General features: G+C 35.8%; 1 protein-coding gene and 1 long non-coding RNA gene across 30 annotated transcripts in view; both read right to left on the bottom strand.

The window, feature by feature from the left end:
- ROBO2 (roundabout guidance receptor 2) overlaps positions 1 to 12,797 on the bottom strand; it is a 1,743,290-nt gene that overhangs the window by 932,806 nt on the left and 797,687 nt on the right. The gene's annotated exons all lie outside the window — the stretch shown is intronic.
- Positions 5,781 to 10,062, bottom strand: LOC102724949 (uncharacterized). Its single transcript, XR_001740451.1, has 3 exons — positions 7,431 to 10,062; positions 7,178 to 7,231; positions 5,781 to 6,592 (listed from the first exon to the last, which is right to left on the bottom strand). It is a non-coding gene; the product is annotated as an uncharacterized LOC102724949 (long non-coding RNA).

Here is a 12,797-nt window from a genome sequence, read left to right as displayed (position 1 = left end):
TTTGTAAAAGATTTATAGAGTTAGGAATGAAAACAGAGTAATTATACAGCAACAATCTGCTAACCAGTCTTCTCTGTGGCTACAAAACTTACGCCAGATATCACCTTCACATCAACACGGTTGGTGGCTTCAAACCCACTTTCTAAGCAAAAATGCACACAGAAAATGGATGAATACTAATAGAAATGTGGCAGTTATTTCACTCTAACATCCTCGCAATAAACTACAAGGTGATGTTAGTATATTTTCATGAGAGTAGACATGACTTAAACAGGAGGATGTTAGTTCTTCAAAAGGATTTGCTAGAGTCAGTTAATGTGGGGCAGAGCTTGCCACTGGCCATCCCATGAAGCACTCAAAGATACCCTACAGGCAGATTTAAGTACACACAACATCTGAGCTCAGTCACAGAAGTCAGAAATGAAAACAGATTCACATGATAGCTCAACTGTTTCATTTTTAATGATCATTAGTGGTCTATAGAGAAGGCTCAAGCTGCTAGGTAAACAACCAATTTGCTTATTTGAAGTTTACATAAGAGATAATTTATTCATCCATTAATTTTCTTTCTTGCTCTAGCACATTAGGTGATATTTGTTCTCTGATATATATAACAATCTAGATTCATCTACACTGCAGTTTTCTTCAGTATCTGCAGCATATTCTTTTAAATAACCTCAGCATGGAATATCTAAGGGCAGAGATTTTTTAATAGCCAAATAGTGTTTAGAACTACATCTATTACCTGTGAAGAATAAAGAAAAAAGATAAGGAAAAGATGGGTGAGAAAACGTAAGATATACATTTTTTCTTCTTTTGGGGGGTTAAGCTCAAATGTTTACTCAAGTAATGATGCCAGTTTTATTGTAGTTAAGCAGCTTTAAAGGCCATTTGATAGAGACTCCAAAAACAGTATCTATGGAAAGTTGCCTGAGTGAATGCATCATTAACATATCTACTTTGACAATACACAGATGCCAATAAAATAAATCAACTGCATATATTTATGGTCATCTATCATATGCAAAACTATGTTAAAACTGAATAAAGTAATACCAAAAAATTCATAACTTAAGTCTTACAAATTTGGCCATTTTAGTATTATTTACAAAGTAGCCCTTTATAAGAATATCATTTTGATAAAATATTTCAGAACAAAGCTTCCAACCAAAAGTCAACATATAATTTTTTTGCAGCCAAAGCCAACCTAAAATCTCTTTTGAAGACACAAGATGACAAAAATTCATTGTGAATATATGTGTCCCCTTTGTTGTATGTTGAATAAGATTTATATTTGAGATAAGCCATAGGTCTGGTTTCTATTCTCCAATAAGAGAGAATAAAAGAGTGGCTGTGGATTGAAAGCCTCTGTGTATATTCCCCTCTTTGTTAAGGCCCATAAAGAAAGAAAATTGGATTGAAATGGCTAAATGTTCTTAGAACAATTCCCACAAATGCCAATAATTATAGATTTTGGTTTCTTTCATTCTCATGGCTCTGACCTTTAGTAGTTTATTGCAATGCACAACACAACATCAGATGCTTTCCACATGACACACATTTAGCATTCTCGCATTGCATCACATTACAGACCATGGACCAAGATTCTTGTTCAAATGCTATTAGGTGTAAGTGATACAACAAGAACAAAAGGAAATGCTTTGAGAACTGTTAAGTCCTGTACTGTCTCTGCTACTGAGCTAGACTGCACCTGAAAAAGGCCAGCCTTTAAGATTTTCATTTTTCTGTCTCCCACAATTCTGAAGTATAAAACTGAGTCCATCTTTGTTGAATGTGTATTTTAATGATAGTCATACAGGGTTTTTGTTTTGTTTTGTTGATGTTAGTGGTGGTGGTATTCTTCGTAACAAAAGCATATCATGAAGTATTAATACCTGGAAGATTATTAACTTTTTTCCTTAGAATTTGAGCAAGTTGTTTGCCAGAGATTAAAATAAGATCCTGTGGGAACACCTATTAATGTGGGTTTGGGTCTCTAATTATTTACGAGATGGAAGAGGAAAAAGACCTCTTTCTCTGTGTCTAATTATAGTTTGGAAAACCTATTTTATCCCTAATCATTGTGCAAATACAAAGTGGCATTGCATCCCATAATTTACAATAAATAGATCAAAAGCTTAAAATGTTTCTAGGCTGGTATCAAAATGAAAGAAATAATGTTTATGAGCTTGGGGTCACCTGTTGCAAATTAAGGTTTACAGGATGAGAAGTTACTCCTCTTATTTCTTTACTCAATACACACTTGGTGGGCACTAACAAGAAAAACAGACTGTCTTGAACAGTTAATAGACTCTGTGGCAGAACCGTAAGTCTCTATATTTCACATCGGATACTGATCTGTTACAATGGAATTATTTATTTAAAAGTTCCCAGAGTCAGTGCTATTGGCAATAGATTTGTGTACTATTTTAATGTATATCTTTATCCTACTTAAGTCTGGTGTTAATTTTGTAAAACTGAAATGTGTTGAGTCCAGCAAAGACTACTCTCCAAATTCTGAGTTATGGGGGTCCCCTAGTCACTATCTAACACTGTCATGTTCTGTTCCCTTAAGATTTCTGTTTCAAGAAAGGGAAGCATAGCTGGATATACAACATTTTCCACAAATGTATTTTCTGATTGATGCCTTTTGCTATGTGTCAATCTCACAATTTCCTTTGTCATAATGAAATTTGTTTAAACTTCCTCTTTAGTCCTGGCTATTATCAAAAGTTTCCTTGTTGTTCAATGAGTTCAGACCAATTGTAAATAATGATACTTTTAAACACAGATCCCACCCGTCCACGCCTGAGCTGTAATTATCTACTTTTCCACACCCTTAGAAAAATTAACTCTTGGAGCAAAGACCTCATCTCATTCCCTCCCAATGAACACCAGCAACACCACTTCTGGAGAGAGTTTATTATGCTCAAGGTTATATCTAGTTGTTAAAAAGGAAAATGTATACGCTGCACATGGGCAAAATTTTCCTCCTAATTTTGGAGTGTATGGAAGATTTCTACACAAGACCATTGTTTCATACTATCAAACAAAACAAAAATAAACCTACAGGTATTAAAAGACTTCATTCCTTTAAGCAGGCCGCCCTATTTCTGAACATACTAACTACGGTTTTCTGTACAGTTTTTTTCAAATGCAGTTTTCTATAATTTTCTGAAGTCTCATTTTTTTTTTTACTTTTAAAATGCACAGTTCTAAACTTACTACTTAAGAAACTACCCTGATTTCATCCAATTAAATGCAGTCCAGCATGTTTTTTTCCTTCATGTATGTTACCTCCCAGTAATAATGGCTTACAATGGAATGGAAATTCCTCTGTACTTCATAGTTATGACTGAGAACTTACTAAACTACTTAAAAATAGAAGTACGCTTAAAAGCATGTTGTTAATGTTGAATAAAGATGCCTAATTAAATCCTACCAAGTGACTGGAAGTAGAAACATGTAAAGCAAAGAGGTAATTTTCTTGTTCAAACAAGTTAATGCAAGAAAAACTTACCAGCTTTTCTTAAGACTATGTTTAATACTCACTGTACTTAATCCTGAGAGAGCTAGTTAGTCAAAAGTAAGTTTTTAAAAAGTGAATTATTCATTTCTGACCAAACCACATTTGACACTCATTTGAATATTAAACTACATCCAATACAGTTCCTCGGAAATATTTTATTAATATGAACATAGAAAATTCATCAGTGGGGGAAGACACAGCCAAGTGACTAAGAAAAAAATCTTAGGATAACAACAAAAATCTTTTTAAAATGCATAAAGGAATCATTGTATGGGAATCACTGATTAAAACTAGAAAGAAATTATTTGACTTTTAATTCAAAGAATCATAATTAAGTACTTTATCTGATTATCCAAAGCAACATTAAAATAAACAAATTTAAAATGGCATAAAGATTTTGAAATTCTCAATTAAGAAGTCAAATTTGCCTGGAAGATTTTCTTCTTGCATTGCAATAAAGCACTTTACCAAAACTTGTTAGCTGGAACACTCATCCCATATGATGTTTACAAATATGATGTTAGAAAGTAGCTCCAAATCAGGCAATTTTGGAAAAACGTCAGTTTTTAAAAGACAATTAACTTATTGAGTGCCTTTATGGCACAGTTTATTTGGTTTTATTATTTTAGATATCAGAGCCTTGGATATGTCCTTACTCCTTGTGAAACTCAGAAAATAAGTTTTAGAAACATGTTGTGAATAAGAATCCAATGATCATTTATTTTAAAAAGTTGCCATTACAGAAGATTAATGTGAAAAAGTTACTTTAAAAATTGGAAAAGATTAGTAAAATCATTCTAATATAAGAAATGAAGAGAAAATTGGAAAAGAAAGGAACAAAGCAAGAGTTTGCTGGCGAAAATGATTTTATAGCTGCTCCTATAATGTATCCTCATTTAAATATAGAGCTTTTTTCATTTAAATTTTTTTTAATTATTATTATTATTTTTTTTTTGAGACGGCATCTCACTGTGCCGCCCAGGCTGGAGTGCAGCAGCATGATCTCAGCTCACTGCAACCTCTGCCTCCCAGGTTCAAGTGATTCTCTGGCCTCAGCCTTCCAAGTACCTGGGATTACAGGCACATACCACCACACCCAGCTAATTTTTGTATTTTTAGTAGAGATGAGGTTTCACCATGTTGGCCGGGCTGGTTTTGAATTCCTGACCTCAGGTGATCCGCCCACCTCGGCCTCCCAAAGTGCTGAGATTACAGGTGTGAGCCACCATGCCTGGCCTAAAAGCAGAGATACTGATGTCATTATTTAAATATAGGATCAAGTCCTGGGCCATAACACTATAGAAGATAAAGATAAAATGAATTTTCTTCACTAAAACACACCTGGTAAAAAGAGCACACAGAAATCACAAGGACCCACTTGATCTAGCTTATGTAAGGATTGTATCTATTGATTTGCTTTCTGCAAGGGTGCAAATAAATCTTTTAAGAACTAATATATAAACCTAATTTTAAAATGTGTTAGATTTTTCAGGGTATGAGAGGCAAAAACAGAAGTGTTTTCTTATTCATTTTTATAGCCAATCAGTAAGTATTAATGCAAGCCTACTCTTTTTCCCAAAAAGTTTGGTAACCCCTTATTATAAAAGTAAATTGAGGAAACTTCCTATATTCTGGAAGCTGCCATTACTTGGAGGTAACATAGACATTAACAAATAATCAGGACAAATGAATTAATGCCATGTTAGAGATATGAACAAGGCACTCAACTGGAGAAAGGAGGAAGCTCTTGGCATTGCTTGGAGTCATAAAACGTGGCTCCCAGGAAGAAGTGACATTTAAACTGAATCTGTTAAAATCAATAGGAGTTTCGAAGGGGTCAAAGCGTGAAGCAGAAAAAGATTCCAGAAAGAGTGCTTTCATGACAGGTAAGTGAGAAGCAGCATGGTGCATGATGAAAACTGACTCTTGCCCAGCACCGTGTGGCTATCTAAGTGTGCACCATTCTAGACGGTCGACTTAGCAAGCTTCCCTACTCTGTTGTACGTTAGGCGTTCTTGCACAGTCCCTGCCATTTGACAGGTGCTTAATGTAGATGTGTGGATGGATTTCGTTATCTTAAAATTTCTATTTCCAGCTAGTGAGCCTAATCACCTTTCCCTTTGTCTATCCACCTAAAGACGGGAATCTGAATTACAGATAATTGTGAAATACAATGAACGTAGTTGGTACGGTTTGGCTCTGTGCACCCACCCAAATCTCACGTTTCGTTGTAATCCCCACGTGTCAGGGGAGGGGCCTGGTAGGAGGTGGTTTGTTCATGGGGGCAGATTTCCCTCTTGCTCTTCTCCTGATGGTTTAAAAGTGTGCGACACTTCCCCCTTCGCTCTTTCTCTCTGTTGCTGCTGTATGAAGAAAATGCTTGCTTCCGCTTTGCTTTCCACAATGGTTATAAGTTTCCTGAGACTTCCTAGTCATGTTCCCTGTTAATCCTGCAGAAATGTGAGTCAACTAAACCTCTTTTCTTTATAAATTTCCCAGTCTTGGGTAGTTTTACATAGCATTTGAGAATGGACTAATACGATAGTCAAACTTGGAAAAGCAGCGATAGCAATAATATAAATCTTAAATTTTCTATGGACCAGTCAACCATTTTAAAATCAAAATCTACAATTCCATTGTATTTTCTATAATTTTGAAAGCCCAATATCAGGAAACAGAATGTAAAAGATTATTGATAAATGACAGATAAATGAAGGAAAAGTGCTAGCCGTGAACTACTTTCTTTTGTCTGGTTTTTCTCACTTTCTATCGCATCATCCTGTCTGAGGATGGGTTCAGCTCTCCTCTCTTTTAATTGCATCTTATCTGTTATATCTTTAGCTCATTTCTCTAAGCTCCCCTAAGTCTGTAAATACGATCAAGTTGCTCACATTTTCAAAAGAAACAAACAAAAAAGTAATCCTTCAATAGTTCATTATTCTCTATCCACCTTTCTTTTCCCACGAAGCCCAGATCAGAAAGAGCAGTCTCAGTTCCCTACCTTGACGAGTTACTTCTCAACCTGCTGTATTCTGACTTCTGTCTCCATAACTCCAAGGCATTCTATAACCAAATCCAAAAGGCAGTTTTCAGTAGGGTCAAGTAGTAATTAACTTGGAAATTGGCCAAACAAATTACTACTAGTTTAAATAATGTCTTCTTATCTTTTCTTAGCTGAGCCTAGCCTTTTTCTGAATATGAGAATAGGACATGCTGGACGCAGTGGCTCACACCTGTAATCCCAGCACTTTGGGAGGCCAAGGCAGGAGGATCACAAGGTCAAGGGATCAAGACCATCCTGGCCAACATGGTGAAACCCCGTGTCTGCTAAAAATACAAAAATAAGCTTGGCAGGGTGGTGCGGACCTCTAGTCCCAGCTACTCGGGAGGCTGAGGCAGGAGAATTGCTTGAACCAAGGAGGCAGAGGTTGCAGTGAGCTGAGATTGTGCCACTGCACTCCAGCTTGGCGCGACAGAGTGAGACTCTATCTCAAAAAAAAAAAGAAAAGAAAAAGAAAAGGACAAGTGTTTGGAAGAGGGGCAGGCCTCAGCCACTTTCCTTAGTCCTCTCTCTCCATGTCTCTTTCTCTCCACGTGTCTCTCTCCCTCCCCTTTCTTTACTTGTTTTCTTTATCCTCAAAATCCTACCTCTAAAGTTGTGTTGAGATCTGCAGCCTTTGCTATCCCATGTCCTCAGAAGAGCTGTTGGCAGAAGGAAGTGGTCTGGTTATACTTCTCATTGGCTGAGAGGCAGCCCCACATTGCAATAGACAGTGTGGCCTCTAACAGCAGGTCTCTTTCAGTATTGACATTTTTTACTATTTAATGATTTTATTTTTGCAAATATACTTCATTTTAAAGAAATAATCTGAAAACTAATTTTAATCTGAAAACTAATTACCCTGGCTCTGGAAAATCCAGATGATGTAATGAGCACTATGGCATATAACATTGCTGAACTCACTTTCCTGCTTCAAATCTCCTGTCCAGCCCCTGAAGTTCCTACTAAATAACCACTCACCCCTTTTCTATGGCATCATAATCCTTCCTGTGTTCTGACAATAATGTGTCCAAGTAATACGTGCTTTTCCAGCTCCATTCACAGGTATGTGTTGATATGTGACACAGTTCTGGCCGGTGAGATACAAGTGAAAATCTTCTGGAGATTCTGAAGAAGCTTTTCCTTCCCTGATGAAAGGAGATGAACAAGACTGATACAAATCCCTACCCTTTCTTCCTGTGGTGAAAGTGGCTGTGATATCTGTAAGAACAATGAGGTGGCAAGTATGAAGGCACAGCCTCAAAAAACATGGAGATACTAAATCTGACATTGTTGAGCTGCTGAACCAATGCCAATAGCCGCAGAACTTCAGATCTTAAATGTTGTGTGAATGGTAGCTGTGTTTTTATGTATATGTATTCCCTCTTCTTCTCTAGATTCTCCCTTGGGGAATGCATATCTAATTTTCAATGACTGTTTAATGCCAACCTTTTCATGGTACTATTGGATATCTTCATCAAGGTACTTCATAGAGAGCTCAGATTTAGGATATAAAAAATAAATCCATTATCTTCTCCAACTCAAAACCAAAAACAAAATATCTATATTGACCTTTTGAGTAAATGGCACCCTCATCTACCCAATTGTCCAAAAGAGAACCCAAGGAGTTTTCCTGACTCCCACTGTCCCAGTGATTCTCATGTCCCATCACTCACTGAGGTCTGCTCGTTGATTTGCTTTACCTAATATCTCTTGGGTGCTTGCCCTTCCCTCTATTCCCACTACTATTGTTTGAAGATGTCAATCTGGCACTGAAACTCTAAATTTCTCCCCTTGCTTCCAATCCCCTCATCTTCATCCATTCATTCTGGTTCTGCCAGAGCAATGGTTCTAAAACGTGAACACAATTTTATTACTCCTTTCTGGAAAACTTTCAGGAGATCTGTCTACCCATAGAATGAAGTCCAAATTGCTGGGCAAGGCATATAAATTCTGATGACCTATGATAGGCTTTTTGTTTTTCTGCTACATCTTCAGTTAATACCTGATGCAGTGACGTATGTGTCCTGGATGACAGTGTACTGTTTTTTGTGTGGTTTTTGGTTGTTGTTTTTACTTGAAGTTTATTATGCAAATAATTCAGATGATTCAAGTAGAGCAAAATTGAAAAGATATCCTTAAACTTCCACTTCATCCTAACATTCCATTTCCCAGAAATAACAGCTATTAAACAATTGATGTGAATTCTGCCATGTTCTTTCCTACTGCCAAACCGTTGTGCTTCTGTTCCCTCTGCCAGGAATGGGTTTACCTTTTGTTTGGTAAATTCATAGGTATCCAACCTTCTAGGTTCAAATGCCATCTCTACAAGAAAGCGTTTCCTCAATCATGTAGAAGTATAGAGAAAATATTTTCATATTTCCCTATGCTAGGGTATTCTAGGCAAAGAAAACTGGAAAGTGGGTTAAAGGATATGCTTTGAAAGTTAAAGCATAATTGAATAGACAGCAATTTCAGAGATATAAAGATATATCTCCCTAGAGCTATGTGCTTTTGCTTCAAAGGGGAATGAAAACTTGTAGGCTTACTTGCACATACATTCCAAATTCCAGTTTACATTTCCAACTTGTGATACATTTGAGAGACAAATCTTCTCTTTTTCTCTCAAGAGGGGATGATAGCAGCTGTATAGCAGCTCACATATATAGTTCAAGATTCGTAATTTTGGAGTTCTTTTTCTGTGGTACACAAATCCTTTTCTACACACAGCCTTAGCCAGTTGGCTGTCATCACTCTGACTCAGATTGGAGGAGGGTGGTCTGGAGAAATTGTCTTGATACAGAAATCTCAGCCTTGCTTTTAAGATTTATATATATATATATATATATATATATATACACACACATGTATTCTAATGTGTGTGTGTATGTGTGCCTGGTGTGGATCTTACCAAAGTACTAGGCATGAACACAGAGAATGAAAATCCCATGGGTCTTAGTATTTAGGTGTTAGTAACTGAGGTCTGTAGTGTGTGAAGATCTCTCGTAGTACCTGTCAGTAGAGGGAGGAGTCACCAGCCTTGGGAACTTGTGGCATGCTCCAGTGTGGTATGAGGCCATAAAGTGATACTGCTGTTTAGCACTTTGAATTTTTCCACACAGGTAGTAACTATTCAGAAACAACCAAAATAGGAAAAAAGTGGTTTGTCCATTTCTAAGAATCTTAGAGTATTAATTGATTGTAATGTAAAGCATCACCTGTCATTGGCAAGCTGAAGAGAGTGGACTTAACCAATAATGGCCAAAGGAATCACCTATTATTCTCAGGTACAAACTTTTTAGTCTGTTAGCAATAGGGAAACAGTGCACATTATTTTTGTAGATTAGTGCGGTGTTTCTTTAGGTACTGGTGTTATGCCAGGGAATCAGAGGGGAAAAGTTGGATCCTGCAAGAGTAATGCTCTTCTGGCTTTAAAACAAATAAATACACTTGAATGGAGTTAAAATTAATATATAGTCTATGTATACATATACATACACATACACTATATATACACACACAGAAAATATGTATATATACATGCATACACACATTAGAATATATATATATATGTATACATATACACACAAAGACACTTTAGAAATCTGTCAAGTTGTCTGAACAAATTTAGGCTTCATCCTCTATTCTCCCATAGACATCTGTTCCTACCTCTAATAATTAACTTATCACATTGGTTTACCATGTTTTAGAAAAAAATTGTCACCCTCTAAATGTGTGTTAAAAGATAATAGAAGCTGTCATCTATTTATTTTTGAGTCACAAGTTACTTACACAATTCCAATATGTTGCAAACACTTAACTAAATCATTAAAGAATAAAAGGACACAAAGAACAAATATTTAGGTGTAATTTAATTCCTTGGAAATATTCTACAATGTTTCCAAATAAGAATAAAATTGCCATCATATATCTTTATAGTCTATTATTTCTTTCCCCATAGAAAGGCAAAGTTTATATTCAATTTGTTTATAAATGAAGTTTATATTAAATTTATACTAAATTTATTTAGAAGACTCAGAAAACAGGACTCAATCAACCATGTGACATTCTATAGTACTGAGTGAAAATGGAGAGTTAGGAGGCTGGGGGAGGGATCAGGGGGAGCAGAAAGAGAAATAATTATTCCTTTCCAACCTCAAAAGTCAAAATATGATAACATTTTCACTTTTGAATTTTGGGTGGCAGAAATGGGAAGCCTGTACCTTCCGGATGAGGTAATCAAATTGACTTCAATAATACCAAATACTTTTAAAATGCAAATATTTACTGGAACAAAGGAACTGTAAGCAAGATAAAAAATGAACAATGTTTTAATGTTTCTTTATAATTGTTTGTATTCCCATATTCAAGTTGAAAATTCTATTTTGTGTTTCTGCACAGTATAAATCAAAGTTTGTAACTATTTTCTATTCTATTGAGGTGCTTTCTTAATACTTCAAGTTAAAATGCCAATTGTTATGACAAAATAATTAAATATGAATACTATTATTGCTTTCTTCTATGGATTACTATAAAAGCTTAACATATGTTTACACTGTGACTAGAAAATGAAATAGATTAAGGAAATATGTTAATGAAAGTCTTTTTAAAAAAATGTATAACTGGATTCTGTCTTTGGAAAAAAGAATCATTGACTTTACCACAGACAGATTTCAGTAAATTTGTGCTGTTCACCCGCCATTCTAATCATTATTGTCAGGAAGTCATTTTGAGATCACAGGTCACAGCTTTAAATTCAACTGTGGCATAGGAAATTTAATCAATAACTTTATGCAAATAGAAAGAAATCATGCTGCAAACAGACCTACTTTAGTGATACATTTATTTAAAGTATTTTAAAGTGATTCTGGAAGTGTGTTTAAGTAAAGATAATATTTCGGTTGAATGCATTTAAAATTAACCTGTATTTCTTATGAGAAGAGCTTGTATAGCTCATTATTATCAGCCCTAAATATTTTGCATTTTAGTTTCTCCCCAATGATTCTACTGAAACTGCTTTCTTGAAGGTCCTCAATCACTCGCTAATTGACAAATCCAATGGCCTTTTTTACTTGTCATCTTCTGGACAGTGTTGCATCATTGGATGCTGCTCATGCCCTCTTCTTTCTTGAATGTACACTCTCTATCAGAGAATAAAGTCATTTTAAAGACACACATACCCCTTTACGTATTTATCACTGTGTGTATGATTTTTGTCCTTTTAAAATCTTGTTAATGATAGACTACTAGGGTTTATGAAAAGTTAATTGTATTAGCTATATTGTATTACTATACATTGTATTACTCTAGGCAACTGGGATATATTGTATTATTCAGGCAACTGGGATATCTGTTTTTCAATATGAAGAATTATAAGGCATTTATCACAGAGCTAAAAGTACAACATACACAGAGATAATGAGTGAGATCAGAGGTGGGCAGACCATACCTGTGGGCCAAATCCAGTCTCCTGTATTTGTGTAACTAAAATCTCATTCACTTACCTATTGTCCGTGACTGCTTTGCACTGCAAGGGCAGAGTTGAAGAGTTGGCATAGAGGCTGTATGTGGTACAAAGCTAAAATATTTACTCTCTAACTTTACCCAGAAAAAGTCCACAGGCCCCTGGTTAGAGTACTGATTTACTGACCTTAGAAGAGAACCATTCCTCTTTTTAGATGCAAAATAAATTAATTAATTAATTAATCAAAAACACCTTCATTATAAGGCTTTATGCCAAGATAGGAGGGTAGTGCTGAACTGGTTTTTGTCTTGAGTCTTCTAGAGAGCCCTGCTTAGCTATGACCTTAATTTTTGGCACCTTTCTGCAAGAATAAGTGTGTATACCCAGTGTAACTGGTCATCTAAAAAGATTCAAGAAAACCTCATGCTATCTCCTTCACAATTCTAGTTTCAAGTGTGCAGAGCCCAATCTGCAGTAGTGGGTTCCTTATCCCTAGGACCCAAGCATGGAAAGGAAGTAAAGGAAGGCATAATGATATATGGTACTTTCTATTGTAACTATTGTGTCCCAGTAAATTGATCTATGATTCATCGTGTTACCCCTTTCAAAGTCTGTCTGTGATTGGTTACTGTACATCTATCATTCAGTTCATACATAGACAGTAGTTGGGTATTTATGTTGACGCCTTGTCCTCCAGCGATAACCCACATGCCATTTTGCACAAATGGATAACTGATAGAAGAAATTGATCAACAAAAGTCAAA

Source organism: Homo sapiens, chromosome 3, assembly GCF_000001405.40.
Source record: "Homo sapiens chromosome 3, GRCh38.p14 Primary Assembly".
Taxonomy (NCBI): domain Eukaryota; kingdom Metazoa; phylum Chordata; class Mammalia; order Primates; family Hominidae; genus Homo; species Homo sapiens.
Note: the sequence above shows the minus strand (reverse complement) of the source record. Positions and strands in the feature narration are given on the sequence as shown.